Source organism: Homo sapiens, chromosome 6 (genome assembly GCF_000001405.40).
Source record: "Homo sapiens chromosome 6, GRCh38.p14 Primary Assembly".
Classification (NCBI taxonomy): Eukaryota; Metazoa; Chordata; class Mammalia; order Primates; family Hominidae; genus Homo; species Homo sapiens.
The window spans coordinates 150291534-150316004 of record NC_000006.12 but is presented as its reverse complement, the minus strand read 5'-3'; the positions used below and the strand labels follow the sequence as shown (position 1 = coordinate 150316004).

Here is a 24471-nt window from a genome sequence, read left to right as displayed (position 1 = left end):
AGGAACAAGGACTTCATCTTTTTTTCTTCCAGTAATGTGATCACAGCACACTACAGCCTCCATCTCCTGGGCTCAAACAATCCTCCCACCTCAGTCTCCCAAGTAGCTGGGACCTATAGGCGCACACCACCATGCCCAGATTATTTGTTTGTTTGTGTTTCAGTAGAGATGGGGTCTTGCTATGTTGCCCAGGCTGGTCTCAAACTCTTGAGCTCAAGTGATCCTCCCACCTTGGCCTTCTAAAGTGCTAGGATTACAGGCAAAAGCCACTGCGCCCGGCCTCAGAACTTTACCTTAAGGATATGTGTGGGAGTGAGGAAAACAGGACCCTTGTCTGGACCTCATGGAAATCGGGAAAAGCTGGACCATCAGGCTCCTGGGCCCAGGGATGGGCAGCAGCCACTGGGCTTTGGCCTCACGTAGTGCAGAACCCACAGGGTGCAGGAGGTGGCAGGAGTTTCTGATTCGAGGCCACTCTAGTGACCAGATGGCCAGAGCGTAGGAATCCCTCTTATGGAGCCAGCCCTTCATGTCCTCCCCTTGTGCCCCTGGCGCCAGCAAAGAGTCCCTCCCTTGCCCACCTAGTGTGTCTCTCTCAGCCTCACCACTTGCTTCAGCCCCCTCCTGGACCTCCTGTGCAATCTGCAGGTCTTTTCAGGCAATCCAGCATTAGTGATGACCCCATTTCTCCAACGCAGATTCCAGAGGGAGAGGTTCTGGTTTTAATCACTTTGCCCCACTTCAATGAGGCTTCAGTTCCCAGCCATATCTCAAGTCGGCGGCACAGACTGGATGCCCCAGAGGCAGGCATCCTCCTCACGTCGTCATCTCAGGGATGAGGGGGGATTGAGGGTGCAGTGGGGTTTCTTGGAGGGCCCTGCAGCTGTTTCCTTGGAAGGAAGCTGAAGGTGACCACATGATGAGGCCAGGCCTGTCTGGTGCAGAGGAAGTGTCCAGGTGGTCACTTGGAAAGGCACTGCTGACCAGAGGGACCAGCAGCATGTCCTAAGGACAGGCCACCTATCTGAGTTCCTTTTGGGCTTGATCTCCATGACATGGAAATGCACCCAGGTTTCTTGGAGGAGGTAGACAAGAAACTAAGAAGCATGTCTTCCCTTTACCACTCTTTAGACATTCTCTATAGGAATGTGAAATGTGAAATACTCATAAGTATCAATAAGCAGGCTTTTTGTTCTGATTCTGAAGATACCAACTTAAACAAAATAGCAAAAGTCTGAAGGTCAGTGTGCAAAAGAGATGTGGCCCAGGAATTCCAATAGCTGCATCTCCATCCCTCTCCCAGCAAATGCTACAGCAGGCCAGACCAAGACTGCTGCAGCTAAGAGGAAACCTGAACCCTCTCCAGGGACGCAAACACTTCCACCTCCTCTTCCTGCCAGCATCAGAGACAACGGGGCTGATCTGACTTGAAGCCACTTCAAACTCTAAAAATGGCTGTTTCAAAATATAATATCATGGAAATCATCCAGGCTGGGCTTCATACCTGTCACTTGCAAAAAGAAAACCAGGTCATTCTCCTTTCCTCCTCCTTCCCTCTTCCTCCTCCCTTTCTCCTCCTCCTCCTCCCTCTCCTCCTCCTGTTCTCCCTCCTTTTCCCTGTTCCTCCTTCTCCTGTTCCTCCTCCTCCTCCTCCTCCACCTCCCCCTCCTCCTTTTCCTCTTCCTCCTCCTCCCCCTCCTCGTCTTCCTCCTCCCCCTCCTCTCCCTCCCCTCTCCCCTTCTGCAGGTGCTCTAAAATATGAGGCAAAATCCCCAACTAGCACGGGGCACTAAGGGCATTACCCACTCCATTAATGGATCAAGCACCCAGGGACAGCCAGGGATTTAAAACTCTCTGTGTGTGTTCTCTTCCTGAGCCAGTAAGTCCCCATTTGTCAGCAGTTTGCTGAGGTTGAGTCTTGTCATTAGCATTCATGTCCATTTGAAACATTTTAAGATGTTATATTTAACAAAAGCAACTTGTCCTTCATCACGAAAGAAGAAGAGAGCTGGCTTTTCTCCAGCCATTTCTTAAAAAAAATTAAATGGGTAAATATCTTCTCAAGACTTCCCAGAAATGAGCTCTTAAGTCCCTGCTGTTAAACAAAATTGCTATCCCCGGCAAAGAGAGATGCAGAAGCAGCCAGTTGACTGGGGGGAGATTCTCCTGCCATTCACTGGCACTTACCATGTGCCTGCCACTAGCTAGGGGTGCAGAGGGCATCACACATGGCTGCTGGTCTCAAGGGGCATCACAATATCATGGATAACAGCCAGCTCTTACCAAGCGCCTACCTGTGCTGGTGCCTTATAGACATTGCCCCTGAGCCTGAGAACAATCTTTGAAAGCAGATGATACACAATTTAATTGAGGAACAGGCCAAACACATAAATAATGAACAACAATATAAAGAATTATATCTAAAGTTCCAAACACATGGCAAAGAAAACAATGTTACTAGAGTTGCACAGAAGGAGAGGTCAACTAGGGAGGCCCTGCCAGGTTTCCAGAAAGTATCATTGCAGGAGAGGAAGGGAAAGACCATCCAGGCAGGGAAGGGCAGCCCAGGCCAGGATTCAGAGGCAAGATTTGTGCACAGGACCTGGAGGAAGAATTTAGGGGAGTGGAGGAGGGAGGCAATGTTGGGGAGATGTCTCTGGTGGCTGGGGGCAGGGAGGGAGCCCTTTCACTGGGTGGATGAGCGTCTCCCACATTTCTACTCCCTTGCCTCTGTGCTAAAGGGCTCCCCAAATACACTGAAGTCAACTCAGAACCCCCTGGGCCACCTTTCCCAGGCTGAGCTTCTCCCTCTTCCCAGGAAGCCTCCTGCAGCTGCTTTAACTCAGGGCATCGCTCTCCCTCTGACTGCCTACAGCATTTACAGCGTGGGGAGCCCAAATTACCGTGTGTCCTTTTTATAGCCATGCATCACTCTCTCATCTTTCATGATGCGTGTGTTCAGTGTCTCCAACAAGACGGCATCTCCTAGGGGTTGGGAGTGGTGCTTCACACTTTCCACCCTCTGCTCCCACCTCTGGCTTTGCACGGGGCTCAACCTTTGGTCCTCTGATCCTCTCCACATGGAGTAGTCCAGTTACTGGTTGAAGGTGTCCAGGTTCTTGGTGTTTTGAGCAAATAATTCAACAAAATGCACAAATAAAGCAAGGAAATAATGAAGCAACAAAAGCAGAGATGTATTGAAAACGAAAGCACACTCCACAGGGTGGGAGTGGGCCCGAGCAAGGGGTTCAAGGGCCCTGGTTACAGAATTTTCTGGGGTCTCAATACCCTCTAGAGGTTGCCCATTGGTTACTTGGTGTATGCCATATGTAAATAAAGAGGATAAAGTCAAGTTACAAAGTCATTTACTCGGTATGCATCCTATGTAAACAGAGAAGATGTTACTGCCTGTGTAAATGGGTAGGATGAAGTGACGTTACAAAGCCAGTCACACTCCTGTCATTGCTGAAGTGTTTCCATTTGATTTAGTTCCAGGAATTCCTTAGGTTCCCCGCCTCCAGGCCCTATTCTCCTGCCTCAGCCCCTTCGTGTGCTTTTTTTTTTTTTTTAAATGAATCTACCACTGATTTGCAGATAACTCCTATGCCTTCACTCTGATCTCAGTCCTTCTCTGTCACTCAGGTTCTACTCCCGAATCTCCCATTTTCCATGAGACAATTCCATGGCCATGTATTGTCATCACCTCAAATGTAATATGTATGAAATAGAATAATCTATATTCACTGCAAACCAGCTTCTATAATTAACGTCCTTGTCTTTGTCAAATATTTCACAAATCATTTCCATTATATACTCCTTTGACAGAAATACAAATTATAAATGAAATGTTTATTTAATTGAATTCCTGTATACTGCATCTGACTCCCAGTGGTCAATCTCCACCAAGCGCGGTAAGAGTTCCAATAGTGTCACTGTGTGACATCTCTCCTGCTCAGCCATCACTCACCCGACAGTCTCCATGGCCTGGAATGCACTGAGAGTCCAGAAATCAGCGCCAAGCATTCAGGACATCTTTACTCTTATTAAGTAAAATGAGTAGCCAAAGTGATCCCAAAAAGTTAATACCCAACATTTATAACTTTGCATCAGGAGAGCCTTCTTAAGGTCTCACTCAGCACCTATTTATTCTTACTTTACATTCAGTCCTAATGAAACTGGCTATTGGCTTACAACTCTATGGTAGAAGCACAAAAGTATAAGAGAGACAGGAACCACAGAGGTTAGCAGCAGAAGCAAGACCACACTCTGGGAGGGAGGAGATGATTTGAAAGCTGTGAGAGACGCTTAAAAGAATGGTGTTCCAAGACCATCTCTGATGAAGGCAGAAAGCTGTAGCTTATCTTGAGAGGTGACGCCAGCTGGGCTTCTGGGTGGGGTGGGGACTTGGAGAACTTTTCTGTCTAGCTAAAGGATTGTAAACACACCAATCAGCACTCTGTAAAAACACACCAATCAGCGCTCTGTGTCTAGCTAAAGGTTTGTAAACACACCAATCAGCACTCTGTAAAATGGACCAATCAGCGCTCTGTAAAATGGACCAATCAGCAGAACATGGGCGGGGCCAAAAAGGGGAATAAAAGCTGGCCACCCGCGCCAGAAGCGGCAACCCACTGGGGTCCCCTTCCACAGTGTGGAAGTTTTGTTCTTTTGCTCTTCATAATAAATGTTGCTACTGCTCACTCTTTGGGTCCACACTACCTTTATGAGCTGTAACACTCTGCGAAGGTCTGTGGCTTCACACCTGAAGTCAGCGAGACCACGAACTCACTGGGAGGAACAAACAACTCCAGATGCGCCACTTTTAAGAGCTATAACACTCACTGCGAAGATCTGCAGCTTCACTCCTAAAGTCAGCAAGACCACCAACCCACCGGAAGGAAGAAACTCCAGACATATCTGAACATCTGAAGGAACAAACTCCAGACACACCATCTTTAAGAACTGTAACACTCACCGCGAGTGTCCGTGGCTTCATTCTTGAAGTCAGTGAGACCAAGAACCCACCAGAAGGAACCAATTCTGGACGCAATCTGATAGCAGCCTGATCTTAGATTACAGCATAGCAATTATATAGAATAATAGCAAGTATTTGCCTAATGCTTTATATTTTGCAAAATGTTTAAAAAATTATTTTGTCTGCTTCCCTTAGGCATCTTTTGAAAGAAATAAGGCAAGTATATTCTGATTCTTCACAAAAGGAGACAGAGAGAGAGATGGAGTGACTCACCCAAGGCCAAGGAGGAAGTTAGCAGAGCTGCTGGGAGCTCAATCTCTCTGTCTTACACCCTCGACATTGGGGTAAGATATGGGGAGAGGAGGCTGGTTAATTTTTCCTTGTGGTTCTCTCTGTCCTCTCCCTTCCACTCTGGACAGCTCTGGAGGCCCTGCCCTTCTCCACAGCCCATGCTTGCCTCACCTGGACTTCTGTGAACCTCCCCCCTGGTTGCTTCTCTTGACCCCAGTGGACACCCCATCCACCAAACCCCCACTGCCAAATCAATGTTCCCCAAATGCCACCTTTTCTCAAAAGCCTACAGTGGCCTCCTTTCTCCTGAAGCTGAGTTCCTGAGCACCTGGCTGCTGAGACCCTCCAGGATCTACCCCCACCCACCCCCACACCCCCACTCACAGCCCCCACCAGCTTTGTGTCCCTCTGCTCTACCCACCGTGCCCCGGGTGGGTGGGACTCATTGCCTCTGGCTCCCCTTACTCACAGTCTCTGGGCCTTTTTGTAAATGTATCATCTACATCAGCAGGCCCCAACCTTTTCGGCACCTGGGACGGGTTTCATGGAAGACAATTTTTCCACGGACTGGGAGTCGGGGGGCAGTGGGGGAAGGTGGAGGTGGGATAGGAAGGTGGTGGGTGGGGGCGGGTGGAGGTGGGGTTGGGATGAAACTGATTAGATTCTCATAAGGCGCTCAGAACCTAGACCCTCGCACTCGCAGTTCACAATACGGTTCGTGCTCCTATGAGAATCTACTGCCACAGCTGATCTGACAGAAGGCGGAGCTCAGGTGATCCTGCTCGCTGGCCCCCGCACCCACCTCCTGCTGTGTGGTCCAGTTCTTAACAGCCCATGGACTGGTACTGGTCTGTCACCTGGGGGTTGCGGACCCCTGATCTAAATCACAGCCGTGCTCTCAGACCCAGTCAAATTGCCACCTTTTCCCAGGAACCTTCCTTGATTACCCCCAAAGTCATTAATTTCTCTCTTTTCAGTTATAGAACACTTTTTCTTTTCTCAGTACTTTTCAATCTTGCATTTCAGTATATGTGGTTTTGTTTGCAAGCTGCTTAATATATGTTTTTGTTGTCTGTTTTATGAGATGGAAAGTGTTTGCTAATGACAGAGACCACGCTCCTCCTCTCATGGCCCCTCCACAGCTCCTAGCACAGGCCTGGACACTGTATGTTAACCGAAGGATCCGCATCAGGTTCCCAAGGAACACACAGTTATTGTTTGAGATCGGGGCTTCAGGGACTGGATATATAAATCTGTCTCAAGTCAGTCTGAGTTGCTGTCACAAGTTTAGAAAAAGTTTCCAGGTTTGCACAACTGCAGGATGATCACTATGGGCTTTGACATGCTTAGGTGGGAAACTCGCAGACTGTCCCAATCCTGCCTGCCTTCCCTCCTTCCTTCTGTCTTTCCTTCAGTCTTTTCCTTCCTTCCTTCCTTCCATCCTTCCCTCCTTCCTTCATTCCTTTCCGTCCTTCGTTCCCTCCTTCCTTCCTTTTTTTCCTTCCTTCCTCCCTCCCTACCTCCCTCCCTCCCTACCTCCCTCCCTCCCTTCCTTCCTTCCCTCCCTCCTCCTTCCTTTCTTTCCTGCCTTCCTTCCCTCTTTCTCTTTTCTTTCCTTCCTTCCTCCTTCCCTTCTTTCCTTCGTTCGTTTCTTCCTTCCTTCCTTTCTTCCCTCCCTCTTCCTTCCCTTCTTTCCTGCCTCCCTTCCCTCTTTCTCTCCCGCTTTCTTTCCTTCCTCTTTCTTTCCTTCCTTCCTTCCTCTTTTCCTCCCTCCCTCCTTATTCCTTCCCTTCCTTCCTATCTTCCTTTTTTCTTTCTTTCCTTCCTTCTTTCGTCCCTTCCTTTTTCCTCCCTCCCTCACTTCCTCCCTTCCCTCCCTCCCTTCCTCTCTCCCTCCCCCCTTCTTTCCTTCCTTCCTTCCTTCTTTCCTTCCTCTCCTCATGTTCCACACCGTTGTTTTTAGGCTGAGACCACTACCCACACCCAGCTGGCCTGGAATGAGCAGAATTCAGTTCCTGAAAATGAACAACTCATTCTCCCAGTGAAGGCCATTCTGCAAAAGTTCTCTAAAATTTATGAGCTAAGGCACTTTACAGAAGAATCCAACCTAATAAACTATTTACTTTACCGCAAACACTCTTTCAATATTTAAAAGTGAAAACATGTTTTGTGGAGCTGTAATCAGTGTGTTTATGCTATTTTAAGTTCTGGATTTGTTTTTTAACTTAGATTATTTCAAATAGAGCATCCATATTAATCAACATTTTCACATAGCATCTCCTTAGCTATCTCATATTCCATTATGTTTGGTGACCATAGTTTGCTAAGTCAAGGAAATATCATTTAAATTATATTTTCAGCATCCTGGATGAAGGGGGATGGAGGATGCCATATGCCCTGACCCAACACAGCCCCACCAGGCAGGAGACCCTGACATTTCATATCTCTTTCACAGTCACTGCCACAAATCTTTTTACAGTAGCTGCCTCCAGCTAAATACCAGATTGCTGTTGGAGAATGAGGGCGAAAGCTCATTTCCACTCCTGCCTTTCACCTGTCTCTTTCTGATAGAGGCTCAACCCAGGCAATTTTATTGCTGAGCAAAGGAAGTTAAGCTGCTTGTTTTTGTTTTATTTTTTTTTTAATTTTTATACCCACCTGTGTCCGTTTGTCGTAAATGTCATATCCAAAGCCTGACTCATGGGTCATTTTCTTCATTAGCTCCTTTGATGCTGGAACACACTAACATTGCTGTGGGGTAAAAGGATGGGGTCTCCAGGCTCTCAGCATGGCCAGGGGAGTGACAGCTCCAAAGACCTCCCCACCATTTGCCCTTGTCCCACTTCTGATGCCCTAACATCTGGCTGGGGATTCACTCCTCCACCTCCATCCCCCACCCCATTCCCAGCCATGCAGGTGGGTGGGGCTGACTCTACCCCCCAGCTCCCAGGAGGCAGGGCAGCCTGAGTAGTTCATGCTAATTAGCATATCTCATCTTCTTGGCCTCAGCCATTGGTTCAGGGATAGACACGTGACCCGAACCCAACAGTCACTACCTCTGGAGGAAATTTGCAGAGGCTTCTGGGAAGGAAAAATGTCTTCCTTCTATTAGAACCACCGGAAGAAGCCCTCTCATTCCCTTTGGATGTGACTGAGAATGGATGTAATTGCAGGAGCTTTTGGCTGCCATCTCATGTCCACCTGGGAATGGGCCTGCAACAGGGAAGCAGAGGCACAGGAAGGAGAGAAATTGAAGCCTGTTACATTACATGAGCCCGGATCTAGCCAGACCCTAGGCCAGGCTGTGGCTGGACCTTTCAGTTGCATGAACCAAAAAATTACCTTTATTTTTTAAGCATGCTTGATTTGTATTTCCTCTTACTTACAACATAATAATATAATCTGATTGTTGTTTGGTTGGGAAAACTGGCAGGCAAGCATCTTGCTCTAATATGATGTGATAGGTGCCATGGCCCACAGAGGTAAAAAGCAAGAGGAGGAAAAGATTCACTGTGGCTCAGAGGGGAGGGGTTATTCTATGCTGGAGGATAGAATGAGGAGTTACCAAGGCAAAATATCCCATCTCAGATGCATCCATAGGCTTCTTAGAGCCCCTAGAGCTGCAGTTTTGCAGATGAGACAGCATGGGGCTGCAGAAGGGTGACTTGGCCAAAGTCACACTTATATGATAAGCTTGGAACTGGAAGGGAGATCTCAATTTTTAAATGGTTTTCTTAATTTTAATCCAATAAGGCTTTTAATATTTTTATTTGTAAATCCCCAAAGAATAATGTATTATTTAAAAATTATTATTATTCCCTTCTTTGATGAGTCATAAATCAAGCTTTCTCTTTACTTGGACTGATCTTTCTTGGGAATTCACAGATGAGGGGACTTACAGGCATTTTGTATAATGTAAAAACACTGTCATGAGAGCAGAGCTCCAAATTGCACTGAATCCAACCTTATACAAAATGATGCTGCTTTTAGGTGCTCGCTTGTATTTTAAAAAGCAAGGGACAAAGCCAGGTGATTTCAAGTCTCCATATCCCAGTAGTAAAGATGGAGGGTCTTGCAGAGTCATGAGGCTATAAACAGAAACTGGTTCCAGTCTTGTAATGCAACTTGGAAAAGGCAGCACATATTAGAGGGAAAAGGGTGGGAACTGTTATAAAGGAGTGAATCTGAGGCAGTGGAAAATTCTATATTCCTGGATAAGGTGGGTGGAGGAGGAGTCATGGGGAAGGAGAGGACTGAGTGGGAGAGGATTACCAGAAGAATGGATCAATCACCAGTGCCCAGTAAACATTAATTATGTTCCCAGAGAGTATAACTTTGCAAAAAGGAAAGTGAGGAAGAATAAGAGGAGGAGGAGGAGGAGGAGGAGAAAAGCCCTGGAAATAGTATTTTGTACATCACAGGAGACAGGAAGAAAATGATAAAGAAAAGAAATTGAGAAAAGTAGTTTTTTTAAAGATGGGGGGAAAATCCAAGTTAGGATTAAAGAACATAAGAATGTGGTGTATGGACATGCACATTGAGGAAGTGAATTAGGGCTGGGAGAAACACACACATAGCCCTTCTCCCAATAAAAAAAAGTTCACACCTCTTGGTTTTAATCTTTTCTTTAAGAAAATGCTTTAATTTAACAAGTGAAAAGTCAAGAGTGTTTAGAAGAAAATTCACGGTCTATAGGACACACGTGGGTAGGAAAATTAGAGCCCAGCAAGGCCCAGTGGCCCAGCCCTGCCAGCAAATCCTCTGAAAACATCTGAAGGTGTGGGTAGAGGGTCCTCAAAACCTCCTTGGGCTCTATGATCTCAGAATTAAATGTATAAGGCACAAAACATCTGAGATCTCTTCAGAGGCTACAGTCTGAGCTGGTGATAGATTCTGAACCGGATACCTTGAATGATATCTGCAGGATGAGTCCCCAGTGATCTATAGAGTTGCCTAAAAATAAAACAAAACTGTAACTTTATTCATGCATTCCACGCAGAAATAGCCAAGCCTTTGGGAGGAAAGTTATATTTTCTAATGTTCTATGCCACTTTGTATTTAAAGAAGATGCTAATGGTGTTACATATATGCAAATAATGAAGGCTGTATGGTACCTCAGTTTCCCCCTCCTCTAGCTTTATACTACCACTTCAAGAGCCTTTGTTTCTGGTTCCATTTTCTCAGGCATTGGCTTCTGTGATGAAGCAAATTAAAGCTGTCCAGGTGTCTTTTTTTTTTTTTTTTTGAGACGGAGTCTCAATCTGTCGCCCAGGCTGGAGTGCAGCGGCGCAATCTCGGCTCACTGCAAGATCCGCCTCCAGGGTTCACGCCATTCTCCTGCCTCAGCCTCCCAAGTGGCTGGAACTACAGGTGCCCGCCACCACGCCCGGCTAACTTTTTGTATTTTTAGTAGAGATGGGGTTTCACCGTGTTAGCCAAGATGGTCTCCATCTCCTGACCTCGTGATCCGCCTGCCTCGGCCTCCCAACCAAGTGTCTTTTGATGGCACCTGGCTACAGAACTTTAAACATCATTTCTGTTAGGCACAGAATTGGGGAGTTTCATAACTCAAACTTCCAGCAGGTTCCAAATAAGGAATTAAACCCCTTCTGTGCTAAACTGTGTAAACAAGCAGATGGGAGGGAGATGCAATTATTATTTTTAAAACCCTTCTAAAAATCAACATTCTTTTCTTCCCTCCAAATACAAAGCAAGTAAATCCTTGTGATGGCAGATAAGGGCTCAAATTTTCTAAAAAAGGTTAACTGTACCTTCATCCTTGGAGATCAGAAGGCAAATAAAATTGTCAAAAATTGTAGCATAGATGACTTCTAAGGGCATTCCAGGGCATTCCAGAACTCTCTCTATGGCTTCCCTGGTAACTGAGGAGAGTCTACTGGTGGGCTTTCTCCAAAGGTGGGCTCCCTCCCAGTAGTGGGCATCACCGTTGCCCTTTGCATGTTTCATGTTTGGTGCTTATTCTCTAGAATACTGTTTGGCCATTCTCCTGAGCGCATAGTCTCCACATTAGCATATCAGAGTCATCTTGAGAGTCTAGAATTGAAGGCTCACATGGTTGACCCAGCAGAATTGCTAGCAGCTGACCATTGCTCAATGCTGTTGGCTTTTGCTCATCAACAGTTGTTTGTTTAAAAAAATTGATGATGGCGATTCTGAGGTCCCAACAAACAGATTCTGTTTTTGTTGGCCTAGGGTGGATCCAGGAAACTGCATCTTTAACAAGCACTCCAGGTGGTTGTACACAGGTAGCTCAGGGACCACACTTTGGGGAACACTCATTCAGAGCCAGAAGCCCTGGGAGAAAATGTTAGCAAGGCAGATGGGCCTGCTTGGCTGCGGAGAAAACATCGGGAGTGGCTGGACCCCTTGTCCTCCTGGAGTTGACAGTCTACTGGTTACTAATGATTGGTAAAGAAAGATCACTCTGATTACCTAAGACAATATATTTTGTTTCCTTCACTGTTTTAGAGTAATGGTTCCCCCATCTTTTCATTATGAAACATCACTTTTATTATTTTCTTCCAGACAATGTATTAATGTGAGTAATAGTTAACAGAATAACTGAATGTCAGTAGTAACAGTGCTTCTCATCAGCAGGACACAACCTGTGCTTGAGAGTGACCTGAGAGAATTCAAGCCTAAAGCAAAGAATCTTGATGTCAGTGCTGGGTTGCAAACTCATATGCCAACTGGCAGGTAATACAAAATGAAGCCCCCACAGGTGTGGACCCAGTGGGGCAAGAATCATGACCCATGGTGTCTGATACTGTCTTAGTGATGGGGAAACAGTAAGATGTGGTCGGAATTGTGGTAAAGTGGAACAGGAGATGTCCCCTCTAAAGAAGGCTGCTATTGCTGGGCTCTGGCCACAGTTGCTTGCAGGGATGTGGGCCAAGAGTAGCCCCAAATCAGACATTTTATGTGAAAACTCCTTATTTTAAAATGTTGCTAATTTTTATAAAACACAACACTGCTGCCCAAAGAATGCACGTGTACAGCCTGGATTTGACTGCTCCGCCAGTTTGATATCCCTTGTTGTAGTTATTCTCTGTGGCCATTTCACACACAAATCCAGTTCGATTTTGGAATTACTGAAAAGACCTGACCCAGGGACCATTGCACTAGAGCAGAGGTCAGGAAACTTTCTTCAAGGGCCACATAGGAAATGTTTTAGGCTCTTGGAGATCATTTGGTCTCTGTCGCAACTACTCAGTCCCTCTGTTGTATCCTGAAAGCAGCCATATATGATTGATAAAATAAAGAGTGTGTTTCAATAAAACTTTATTTGTAAAAACAGGCTGCCAGCCTGGAACCACTGTTTGCCAACCCCTTCTCCAGCTTGTCTTATTCTGGAAATCTTTGATATTTATCTAATCAGTCTGCTTTATCTAATTTTAGAAAGAGAAATCTGTTTTTAATTGTTTAAGCTGAAATTCATTGTAATATCTTTCAGAAATAGCCTGGCTCCATATGTGCCATGTTGTTGAGATACATCACACAGGTGGTGCCATGAAAGGGAGAGCTGGCTCCCACAGGGCTCCAGCTGATCGGCCACTGTCAGTCCCAGCACTGACAGCTCGGAGACCTACTTATTAACAGCCCCCAGCTCTTCTTGTTCCCTGAGCCAAATAAGCTTCACAACTCCTGTTGTTTTCCAGCCTCCACACAAAGGCCATGTTGCCGGGAACTGTTCTTAGCATCCTGCTTCCGTGGGATACTGCTGGTCAACACATGCTAAATTTCGCACACCCCTGCCTGTGGGATCAGACAGAATTGACACCCGGTAATTGCAGTCTGCAGCACTTCCTAACTGCTTGATTCCTGCTGATTTTTCCTGTGTCAGGGTGAAACTCAAACTCTCACTTGCAATAAACCTGTGGCAGCCGGCTTTTGATCTTTGTCCCCAGAGCTGTTGAAGCCACTGGTTTATGCCAGCCAATCCCCCATTGCCTAGGAGCAGACCCCAATGTTTCAACTGCCACAGCTCTAGGCAGGAAGAGCAGCTTGAATTGCTGGGCCAAAGGGGCAATCAATACTCATAGCTATCCCTGTAGAGAGCTGGGTAGAAGACTAAGTCAGGGCCACACCTTTAAAGGGAATCTCAGTTATTGTCTTGTAAGAGATATCAGCTTGAAGCTGAGAAATAATTTGTGGCCAGGATTTAGGGGCAAACACCAACATTTAAGCCATCATCAACACCCTGTACATACACCTAAAGGGCCCATCAGCCTGGAGCAGCATATTCTGACTTTGAGGGCCCTGATGCATGAACAATACAGAAAAGCAAGTACTGTTTGTGAATGACTCATATTTAAAGTGTAAATGACTCATAAACCAAGGTTCTCTGGAGCCACTGTTCTCCCAACTCAGCCTTCACAAAGCAAGTCACTAATTCGTATTATTCACTGTCAAGACTGATTTGACATGAACACATCTTAATGTGATTCTGAAAAGCTGACATTAATATGTTCATGATGTCTGTCAACTCGCCCTCATCCGGGGATAACCTGGGGTCCCTGTTTCAGCCCATGTCAAGGCTTCAAAGACATGGAAAAGTAAAAATATGCATTATCCAGGCAGCAACAGGGTCAGCCTGGGTGGTCTGAGGTTGCCCACAGGCCCCCTGTGTCTGCAAAGATGGAAGAATGGACATGAGCTCTCACCTCCTGGAGTCACAGCAAGTCGAGCTTCCAGAAATCCAGGACAGCTGCACCAAGCCACCCGATGTCCTGAGCCAAAGGCTTTTTGCACAGATCTATTATTCCTTCAGAAGGGGTTGTCACTGTTAGCAGGCTTCTACTGTGTCTTATGTCACAATGCAAAGAAGGGCTTGCGGTGTCTCAAGGCATATGTTCAGAGAATCCATTAGCTGCCTAAGCAATTCTTCTCCACCTCCTTGCCCTCAGGTCTGCTAATGAAAGGATGCTCCGACTTGTGTTGCAGGTTTAAGTGGGGACGTCCTGCACTTTTGCTGGGTATATTTTGATGAGACAGCTTATAAAGGACATAGAAAACCTTGTCTGAAGAGTATAATGGAAAGAGCTCTGGCCTAAGGGTCAGAAGACAGCCGTTCCAGGAGCTGATCTGCTCACTCTTAACTCAGTGACCTTGGGGACACCAGTTAACTTGCTAGAACCCTGGTTTCTTACTTATAAGATGGTGTTATTAAATGAAAATGAGTCTTAAATTCCTTACTAGCAAAAACTCTGCTTATATGTTATATCTGGTGCATGTTAATGCCACTGCAGAATACACAGGGGTATGTCTGGTACGTAAAATCTAGAATACACTGGGATTCATAAGAAATGAAAAGGAATCCTTTAACACAGCTCCTCTGCTCATGAAGAGTTTTAACTGAATGGTATTTCTGACAGTGACTTACATGTGTTTCAGCCAACACTGAGCTGTAAGTGGAAGAAGCAGGTCATTCTCAAGTTCTGATCGCTGGTCTGAAGGCCTTTCATCGTACTCGACATCCTCTCCATCAAATTGCAAAACGTCCCACCCGGGTGTGAGCTCATTCTTTTACATGAGACCTTTTTGTCCCCAGAAAGACGGTGGCTCAGTAACTTGATGCTCTTTGGGATTGTCTAACCTAAATTTGTCTCCTCTTCCCTCTCGGGGGCTGCGTAGATTTTCCCCTACTCACTCTGCAGGCCGGCTTCCCAGCCTACTTTCCTCTTCACTAAGCCCACCATGCTGAGACCTACTCTGACCCTTGACAAGAACTAATGTTTCTGCTTAGAAGGCTTTCTTTCAGTATCAAACCCCACTGGGGCCGCTGGTTCCCTGATTTCAGAAACATTGCCAGAAGCTCCTCTGGAGAACTGTCTAGGTTCTTTACTCCTTGTCCTATTATCTGATTTGAAATATTGTCTGAGCCGGGCACAGTGGCTCATGCCTATAATCCCAACACTTTCGGAGGCCGAGGCGGGTGGATCATTTGAGGTCAGGAGTTTGAGACCAGCCTGGCCAAAATGGTGAAAACCCGTCTCTACTAAGAAAAAAAAAAAAAATTAGCCAGGCGTGGTGGCGGGTGCCTGTAATCTCAGCTACTTGGGAGGCTGAAGCAGGAGAATCCCTCGAACCCAGGAGGCAGAGTTTGCAGTGAGCCGAGATCACACCTCTGCACTCCAGCCTGGGTGACAGAGCAAGACTCCTTCTAAAAATAATAATAATGATAAATGAAATATTGTCTGACATCCTTCCTTCTCCTCTGCCCCAATATTACCTGTTAGTTTCAGGAAAGAGCAGATAATTCAAATCCACATCCTAAGGGTCTGGTGTCCAATGTGGGCCAATGGTCCAGGGGTGCACACTAAGGGGTGATGAGAGGGAGCAGTCCTTGGAGCTTCTCAGTAGCAGTGGTCCTTATCAGGCCATGGGGCCAGCGTTGCAGTTCAAGGAGCTCCATAGAGTTCGATGCAGGGCCCAGCCAAGGGCAGGCTCTGCCTCCAAAAAGACCTTCCTAGGCACTGGGCAAAGTGGTCAAGACGCAGCACATTAGGCGTGGCTGTCCCAGGTTCCCATGGGAGGAGGTGAGAATACCAGGGGCCAGGGCAGCATGCGGGTTAGTTGGAGAGACACCGGGGTTAGGCTCCAGCACAGGGCTTGCTTCAGTGACAGGGAGCTACAACCAGCCCAGGCCCTTGAGAGCTGGGTGACAGAAAACAGCTGCTCCTCCACCTGCTGCTGAATGTCATTTCCCAGGCTCAGTGAATGGGTAGGGCTCGGCCCGTGGGTGGGTCACCTTTCACGCCAACTTTTTACTAAGCCTTTTATTATTTCTTATTCCCATGCTTTTTAAGCTCTTCGTTTATCTCTGTCTTCTCTTTTAAAAAATATTGTCACTCTTAGTTTATGTTTTACTGTTTTGTTTCTTAATTCTTTTTTTAAAAAAAAATTCTAAATCTCTTTATTTTTTATCTTTTAAGACACAAAGTCAAAGGGAAAATGGAAATTTCTAAACCTCATTTTTCTCTCTTGCTTTTTACTTTCTGGTTCTTTGCTTTTTATCTTTGTATTTACCTTCTACTTTTTTTTTTTTTTTTTTTTTGAGACAGCCTTGCTCTGTTGCCCAGGTTGGAGTACAGTGACGTGATCTCAGTTCATTGTAACCTCTGCCTCCCGGGCTCAAGCAAAACTCCCACCTCAGCTTCCCAAGTAGTTGGGACCATAGGTGTGCACCACCACACTTGGCTAATTTTTTTTTTTTTTTTAATATGGAGTCTCACTCTGTCACCCAGGCTGGAGTGCAGTGGCGCAATCTCGGCTCACTGCAAGCTCTGCCTCCTGGGTTCACGCCATTCTCCTGCCTCAGCCTCCAAAGTAGCTGGGACTATAGGCGCCCGCCACCACGCCTGGCTAATTTTTTTGTATTTTTAGTAGAGTCGGGGTTTCACCATGTTAGCCAGGATGGTCTCGATCTCCTGACCTTTCAGCCTCCCAAAGTGCTGGGATTACAGGCATGAGCCATGGCGCCCAGCCCTAATTTTTGTATTTTTTGTAGAGACAGGGTTTCACCATGTTGCCCAGGCTGGTCTCAAACTCCTGGGCTCAAACGATCTGCCTACCTCAACCTCCCAACGTGCTGGGAAGACAGGTGTGGGCCACCGTTCCTGGCCTTAGCTTTAAGTTTTAGTTCTGTCTTTTACATTTCTTGATGTTATTCTTTTTTTTTCATTTTTAGCTTCATCTTTTTTCATATCTGGCATTTACTGCCATGTAGCTTCTTTGTATAATCTTGACTGAATTGCTTGCCTTCTCTGAGTCTAGAGTTTCTCATCCTAATAAGGGGCTGTGTCTAATGGCCGACTCATTGTGCTGTTCAAACAGTTGAATGAGGACTTAACACAGTTTCTGCCATGCAGAATGTGCTCAGTAAATGCTTCAAGATTTTTTGTTTTGTTTTGTTTTGCTTTGCCATATTGAATAAAGCTTAGCAAATATCCTCATACACATATCCTGGAATGTTAAGTCATAGGGTATAATCTTTTTAAAAATATTTACTAGGTTGCTAATAAGTTCACAAATGCTATAATTATTCATACTTTTCTCCTTGTTGATTTATAAAATCTCTTTGTGTAAATGTAATATCTTTGTCCTCTGCATTATCATTTTCCCCCAAATGTCCTGCTTGATGACTTTATGTTGCATTTTGCCATAAAAATTTCGTATTTATTTTAAATTTTAGAAATAAGTCTACTTTTTTTCATTTTAGCTTCTGAATTTCCAGTCTTGGTTGGGAAGACATCCTTATCCCCCAGATGGCTCACATGTCTTATGGGTTTTGCATAATTTGGTTTATGTTTCACGTGGCAAATTCTCGCTGCTGAGGTGCTGGATCTCCACCATCATTTGGAGAAAAATTTTGACGCAGACATTGCAATTGACAAGAAAACTTGGTCTAAGGCAGCAGTCCCAGCCCTTCACAGTCCCTCTGAGGATCACAGGGATCTCTGCCCCACCTCTCTGTCTGCTGCCCCACTAAGCAAATCACAATGAAAAGAAAGAAAAGCACAGTCATATCAACATGTCAACACATGCCTTCTTGCAACAGTCAGGTTGATCGCTCAGAAACAGCTCTCTTCAAGATCTTCATGAGGAAAAAAAATTTTTTTTTCTTTCACACAATAACAAAGTGTGAATTGTGTTGAACTGTCATAGAAGGGGTCAAGAGAGATGAGAGTGACAGCAAGAATAAGCATGAGTGAGGACTTTTTTCCAGGCATGGTATGTGGCATCCTGGATATGATGGCCGAAGAGTACAGTTTAGTTGTCCCTGTTAACCACTAGACCCTGGGCTCTGCTCCAAGAAGCACAGAGCATGTCATGTGGCCTCTTTGTTGCTATTGGCATCAAAAGAGCTGGAAAGAAAGATGTTTCCCTACAAACTGCATTTTCCAGTGTTCCCTGGGAACTGCAAAAATAGAGAGAGAGAGACAGAGAGAATGTAAGAGAGAGAGAGAATATAGATACCCATGGATCCTTTTTGCGAGACAGCAGTATTGCAGTAGAGAGTTTAATTATCTCAAGGCTAGCCAAGCAGTATTTGAGAGTTTATTATTCACATCAGTCTCCCAAGAACTCAGAGGCTAGGCTTTTATGGACAGTCTCATGGGCAGGGGACTAGGGAATGGGTGCTGCTGATTGGTCGGAGATGAAATCATAAGGGTGTGGAAAAGGGCCCTTGTGCAATGAGTCCACCTCTGGGTGGGGCCACAGAACTGACTGAGTCATGAGTCATGGGTCTGGGTGGAGTCTGTTGATCACCAGAATGCAAAAGTCTGAAAAACATTTCAAAAGACCAATCTTAGGCTCCACAATAGTGACATTACTAGGGAGCTATTGGGGGAAGTCACTAGTCTTGTGATCTGTGGCCACATGACTCTTGAGCAGCTAGGAATTATAGCTACATTTTAGCAGAATTCGGCCCCTCCCATAATCCTAATTTCATGGCCTTTCATTAGTTTTACAAAGGCAGTGTCAGTCTCTGAGCCAGGAGGGGATCTATTTTAGGAAGGAACTATTATCATTCTTGCTTCAAAGCTAAATTATAAACTAAATTCATCCTGTGGTTAGCTTGGCCTATGCCCAGGAATGAGCAAGGACAGCTAGCCTGTGAGGCTAGAAGCAAGATGGAGTCAGCCACCTAGACTTTTCTTACTGTCATAATCTTTGCAAAGGTGGTTTCAAGACCAGCTGAATAACTAACAACCTTAAGTCTCATCTCGAATCACTTTAAATTGCCCAGCAGGGTGGAAGGATGAAAGTACAAATAACTTGGGGGTCTGGTGGGTGCCTGGGTGGTCTATATCATACACATATGCCCTTGCTGGCTCCCAAAGAATTTTTTCGCAGAGTCCCAGACTTGCTCACAAAGGCCCTGCCGATGGTGTCTATAAACAGATTTGCCCTCGCACCAAATGTGGGTAATAAAAAGTAATAAAAACCTGGAAAGTCAAACCGAATATTTAAGAGAACAATCAGTTGGCCAATCTTTCCCTTGAGTTTCCGCGCCAGGCTGCAGGAAGCATCTCTGTTTCAGGGTGAGCCCATCTCATAGGTTCCCCTTAGCAGCACACGATTCCTGCAGAGCCCTCAGATGCCAAGGTCTGCCTCATGTCTACCTGCATCTGGGGTCCTCCAACACTGGGAGCATCCTCCTGCTGCTGGTACACTTGCCAGCGTCTGCTCCTTCTGCAGGTCTCAGCTCCTATGTGGTGGCCTCTGTCAGTCCTTCCTGTCCCCACAGGCCCCCTCCACGCTCCCCTGCTCTGCACACTTGACCCACACAAGCCTCTGACAAAGTAACTGCTGTGCTCTCTGTCACTGTTGGCCCACACATCTGTCTCCTGCAGGTTCAGGACTATTCTTTAAGTTCCTTGAGGGAGGATTTTCTGGTCTGGGCCAGCTGTGTAGTGCTGGATGGTCTCTGTGGCCTCCCTTGGGCTTCTGGGGCCTCAGCGGGCATGGTGTGGATTGCTGGGATAATTAGGACCTCTTATCCTTCATGTGATCAACCCAGTCTTGTTCACGTGGTGGCAGCAGTTTTCAGCAGCAAGACAGGGCAGGACTCGATGTGCACGCACGTTTCAACCCTCTACTTGTGTTACATTTGCTGTTGTCCCATTGGCCAAACAAGTCACATGGCTAAGGCTAGACTCACTTAGAAGGGGACCAGCCAAGAGTGTGAACCAACTGTGGGCAGCTGTTTACCCCAGCAGGGACTGTGCTTCTCATTTCCGTATCTCAGATGGTCCTCAAGTATGTCCTTTAAATTTTTAAAATTATTTATACAGTTTTAAATGCATAAATATATGGAGTCAGATCAGATATGCTATACAAGTGGCTCAGAGGAGGTGAACAAGCTGGATGGGCAGCAAAGATGTTGGGATGGTCCTGGAGGATGGTGTGGTTTCTAGAGGCTGAGCAGGAAGGTGCCATACAGGTAGGAGCCTGCAGGCTGCGGAAGGGCAGATCGTTTGATTCTTTGCATACATGTGTGCCGTTAGTCTCCCTTCCCCCTCCAGGTCTTCTACCTGCAGTTCACATCCTCGTTCTGTGCCTGGGGAATTTACAGGCTCTCGTGCGTTTCAGCCAGTGGGAGGCACTGGCAGGATTCATGAGGGTGGAGGAGAAAGAGCCAGGGAATTTATACCCTCTTCCTCCATAGGAAGCCTCAGTTATGATGGTAGCTGCTGTATTGGGCCACAGACCCTGTTTTTTGTTTTTGTTTTAGACAGAGTATTGCTCTGTTGCCCAGGCTGGCGTGCAGCAGTGCCATCTCGGCTCACTGCAATCTCTATCTCCCAGGTTTGAGCGATTCTCCTGCCTCAGCCTCCCACATAGCTGAGATTACAGGCATGCATGACAATACCTGGCTAATTTTTGTATTTTCAGTAGAGATGGGGTTTCGCCATCTTGGCCAGGCTGGTCTCGAACTCCTGACCTCGGTGATCCTCCCGCCTCAGCCTCCCAAAGTGCTGGGATTACAGGCATGAGCCACTGCGCCTGGCCTCAGACAACAGACCCTATTAAACAGCCCTTCCCATAGCTGGGCTCCAACCAATGTCATTCCTTCCTCCCTTTGTCTCTTCAGACTTGGAGGAGGTCGAAGCAGATGGGCTACATTATTTGCAGGGCCCAAGGCCAAAATGAAATGCAAAAACCCTTGTTCAAAAAGTATTCGAGATTTCAAGAATGTGACAGCAGAGGGTTAAACGAAGCACGGGGACTCTCTGAGCACTGACAGGTGACTGCACAGGCTGCACTCTCAGGCTTAGTGCTAGTGCTACTCCCCTCCCTGGGGCACCTCCACCCCTGGGGAACCCCATAGCCCTGCCCAGACCTGTGTAGATCATCTCATCTTTAAACTTGGCCCACTTATCTTGTGGAAGATGCCATCTTCCTGCTGGGACTCTGGCTGATATAAATACCTGTGAGCAAAAAGAAAAATTCTTCAAGATAAAACAGTCACAGCATAAAGAAAATCAAGTGGAAACACTGGGCCCCTTTGAAGCTACTATTATTAGTCATAATAATAACATCAGTAGAGTGATCTACCATCTACAATGGACTTTTATGCATGTTTGATCTTCATGGAAAATCTTATGGAGTAGGCAGGGTATTATGGGAAAAATAAAAAAACACTAAAGTCTCCTTATGGGGTAGATAACGGGGGAAAAGGCAGAGGAAACTGTGCAAGTCACACTCAGGCTGAGCATGACCCTGTCTTGGATGGAGCATGTCCTCCGTTCTGCATCTCTCTGGGGAGCCCTTTGGAAAGAAGAACGGGGTAGAGCAAATGCGTCCCCAAGGATCCAGGCACAGGGCCTCTGTCCCACTCGTGAGGGAAATAGACAGTGGTATGGACTGGGCAGGGCCCACTCCATGGGCTGCCAGAGAGCTAAGGTCCCTTAGCTTGGGGCCTGTGGCCAAAGCAAGGCCTTCTCTGTCCCTGACACTCTGCCTCCCAGGTAATGGAGGTGAGGCTTTCTCACACCTCTGATGACACCACACTCTCCTCAACCAAATAGTGGACCCCAAAGCCTTTTGCAATAATTAAGGGAGATGAGTGAAAGAGGTATGGGGTTGCCTGGCACCTGTATAAGCAACATTTCCTGCCTGAGTGAGCATTGGTGAGTAATGAGACTGGAAAATCTCAGTATTGGAGGATAACTTCCACTGTGTAGGCTGGCCAGGTCCCTTCCACCCACAATGCTAAGCATCCAGGGAGATGCTTAGACAGGATAAGGAGAAACAGAAGTGGCCACTCAGGGTTTCAGTAGCTCTTGTCTCTCCTTGTTTTACATGAGCTTCCTTTTGCTCTGTTAAAAAAAAATACTGTTGGCTTTAGATTTTTTTCTACAGAACTAAGGTGTGATGCTTGGGATTCAGGGCTTTCTGTGATTTTTCAGAATCCTGTAACCAGTATTATCAAGCTCAACCCACTGTTACCACTGAGGACAGCTGACATAAGCCCTTCCAGAAAGAGAGTCAGATGGCACCAGGCATGGAAATGAGGCCTAAGGTTTCTGTCATCGTGATATCAACCCAGCATGACTCAACATCACATCAGCCTGCCCTGCTGACTTCCGAGCTGGAATTAGGAAGTAGTTGTAAAAATTGTTTCCTTCCCCAAAGAATACACTCCCCTTACCACCCCCAGAGATATGAATAAACTCTATGTAAACAGCATCCACAAAGTCAGGAGGACTTGGGATACACTTAATGTTAACTACATTTTCAAATAATACACTGGATATATATTCATGGGAAGTACTGGATATATATTCATCTGAAGTACTCCACTGTATCTAACTATTCATCTGAAATAGCACAATAAATACACTATGAAGTATCCAAAAAGTCTGGAAATGGGGAAAAGAGCATATTAACAGTGTCAACCAACATACTGCTTAGGAATCAGCTGACCCCATTGTGTTAGGCCACTTTGCGTTGCTATAAAGGAATACCCAAGACTGGGTAACTTAATGAAGAAAAGAGGTTTATCTGGCTCATAGTTCTGCAGGCTGTACAGGAAGCCTATGGAAGAGTTGCCCATTCTTCTTTCCAGAGGACTCCATAGAGGGATGTGGAATGGATGACATTTCATAACCTGACAGGCTCCATCCAAGACAAAGTCACAGCAAAGCCTGAGTGCAGCTTGCACACATTCCTCCACTGTTCCCACCATTATCTCTCCCCTAAGGAAACTTTATTGCTGGCACCTGCTTCTGTTGAGAGCCTCAGAAAGCTTAAAATCATGGCAGAAGGTGAAGAGGAGCCAGTGTGTCACATGGCAGGAGAGGGAGCAAGAGAGAAGGAGGAGGTGCAGGCTCTTTTAAACAACCAGATCTCACATGGAGTGATAGAGAACTCACTCGTTATCGTGAGGACGGCCCCCAGACATTCATGAGGGATATGCCCCCATGACCCAAACATCTCCCACTAGGCCCCACCTTCAACACTGGGGATCACATTTCAACATGAGATTTAGAGGGGACCAACAACCAAATTATAACCCCTGCGTTTCCTGATGGGGAAACACCTTGTAGATTGCACACAAACCATAAGATCCAGCGTTTCTCAAGGGCCTACTGTGTGTGAAATCCTATTAGTTGCTTTATGGATGTTACTCCGTCTTCACACAAGAAGCTGAGTCATGCACCTGTAGTCCCAGCTACTCAGGAGCTGACGCAGGAGGATCACTTGAGCCCGCCTGAGGCTACAGTGAGCTATGATAATGCTGCTGTACTCTAGCTTGGGCAACAGAGCGATACCTCATCTCTAAAAACTAAAAATAAAAAAAATAGAAGAACCTATGAATTGAGGATAGTATGTGATGTGGTTTGGCTGTGTCCCCACCCAAATCTCACCTTGAATTGTAATAATCCCCATATGTCAAGTGTGGGACCAGGTGGAGATAATTGAATCATGGCTGTGGTTCCCCCATACTGTTCTTGTGTTAGTGAAAAAGTCTCACGATAACTGATGGTTTTATAAATGGAAGTCTACCTGCAAAAGCTCTGTTGCCTGCTGCCATGTAAGACGTGACTTTGCTCCTCCTTTGCCTTCCACCATGATTGTGAGGCCTCCCCAGCCACGTGGAACTGTGAGTTCATTAAACTACTTTCCTTTATAAATTACCCAGTCTTAAGTATGTCTTTATTAGCAGCATAAGAACAAACAAGTACGGTATGCTTATCTTGTGGATTAAGAAACTGAGGCTCAACAAAGTACAAGGTTGCAAACTTAAATGCCAGCAGAGACCGCATCATGATTAAAATAAAGGGTACTGCCCTCGATAAAGAATGATCAACGCAATTGTTTCTAGTCGGGAATTCAGGCCCAGTATTGCCAGATCTTTCCATTTTTCTAAAGAAGCCAGAAATCTGGATTCATGCTGAAAACTCTGATATTTAGATGTTAGTTACTGATTAAATTTTTATAAACCCTGCATTGCCCAAGCCAAAAAAAAGTATGCAAAGCAAATTCAGCAGCAGGCCTCTAGTTTGCAGACTCTGAATTAAAGTAAATTGCTCGTGGGCTCACAGGTAGGAAACAGTAATACAAATCAGAAGCCAGGTCCATCAACCTCAGCTGTGTCTTTTCTCTCAGGACACTACAGAAGTAGCTGCACTGAATTAAATGAAAATTTGTTTAAATAATTCAATTTCTTT

The 24471-nt window shown here is 46.0% G+C and overlaps 1 long non-coding RNA gene across 2 annotated transcripts in view; it reads right to left on the bottom strand.

Annotated features, from left to right (window-relative positions):
• Positions 1-9879: 9879 nt before the first annotated feature.
• Positions 9880-24471, bottom strand: part of LOC105378054 (uncharacterized) — a 36714-nt gene continuing 22122 nt past the window's right edge. For both annotated transcript variants that reach the window (XR_943109.3, XR_943108.3), the window contains exons 2-3: positions 21138-21225; positions 9880-10219 (exon numbers count right to left, since the gene is read on the bottom strand). This is a non-coding gene — a long non-coding RNA (uncharacterized LOC105378054). The remainder of the gene's footprint in view (positions 10220-21137; positions 21226-24471) is intronic.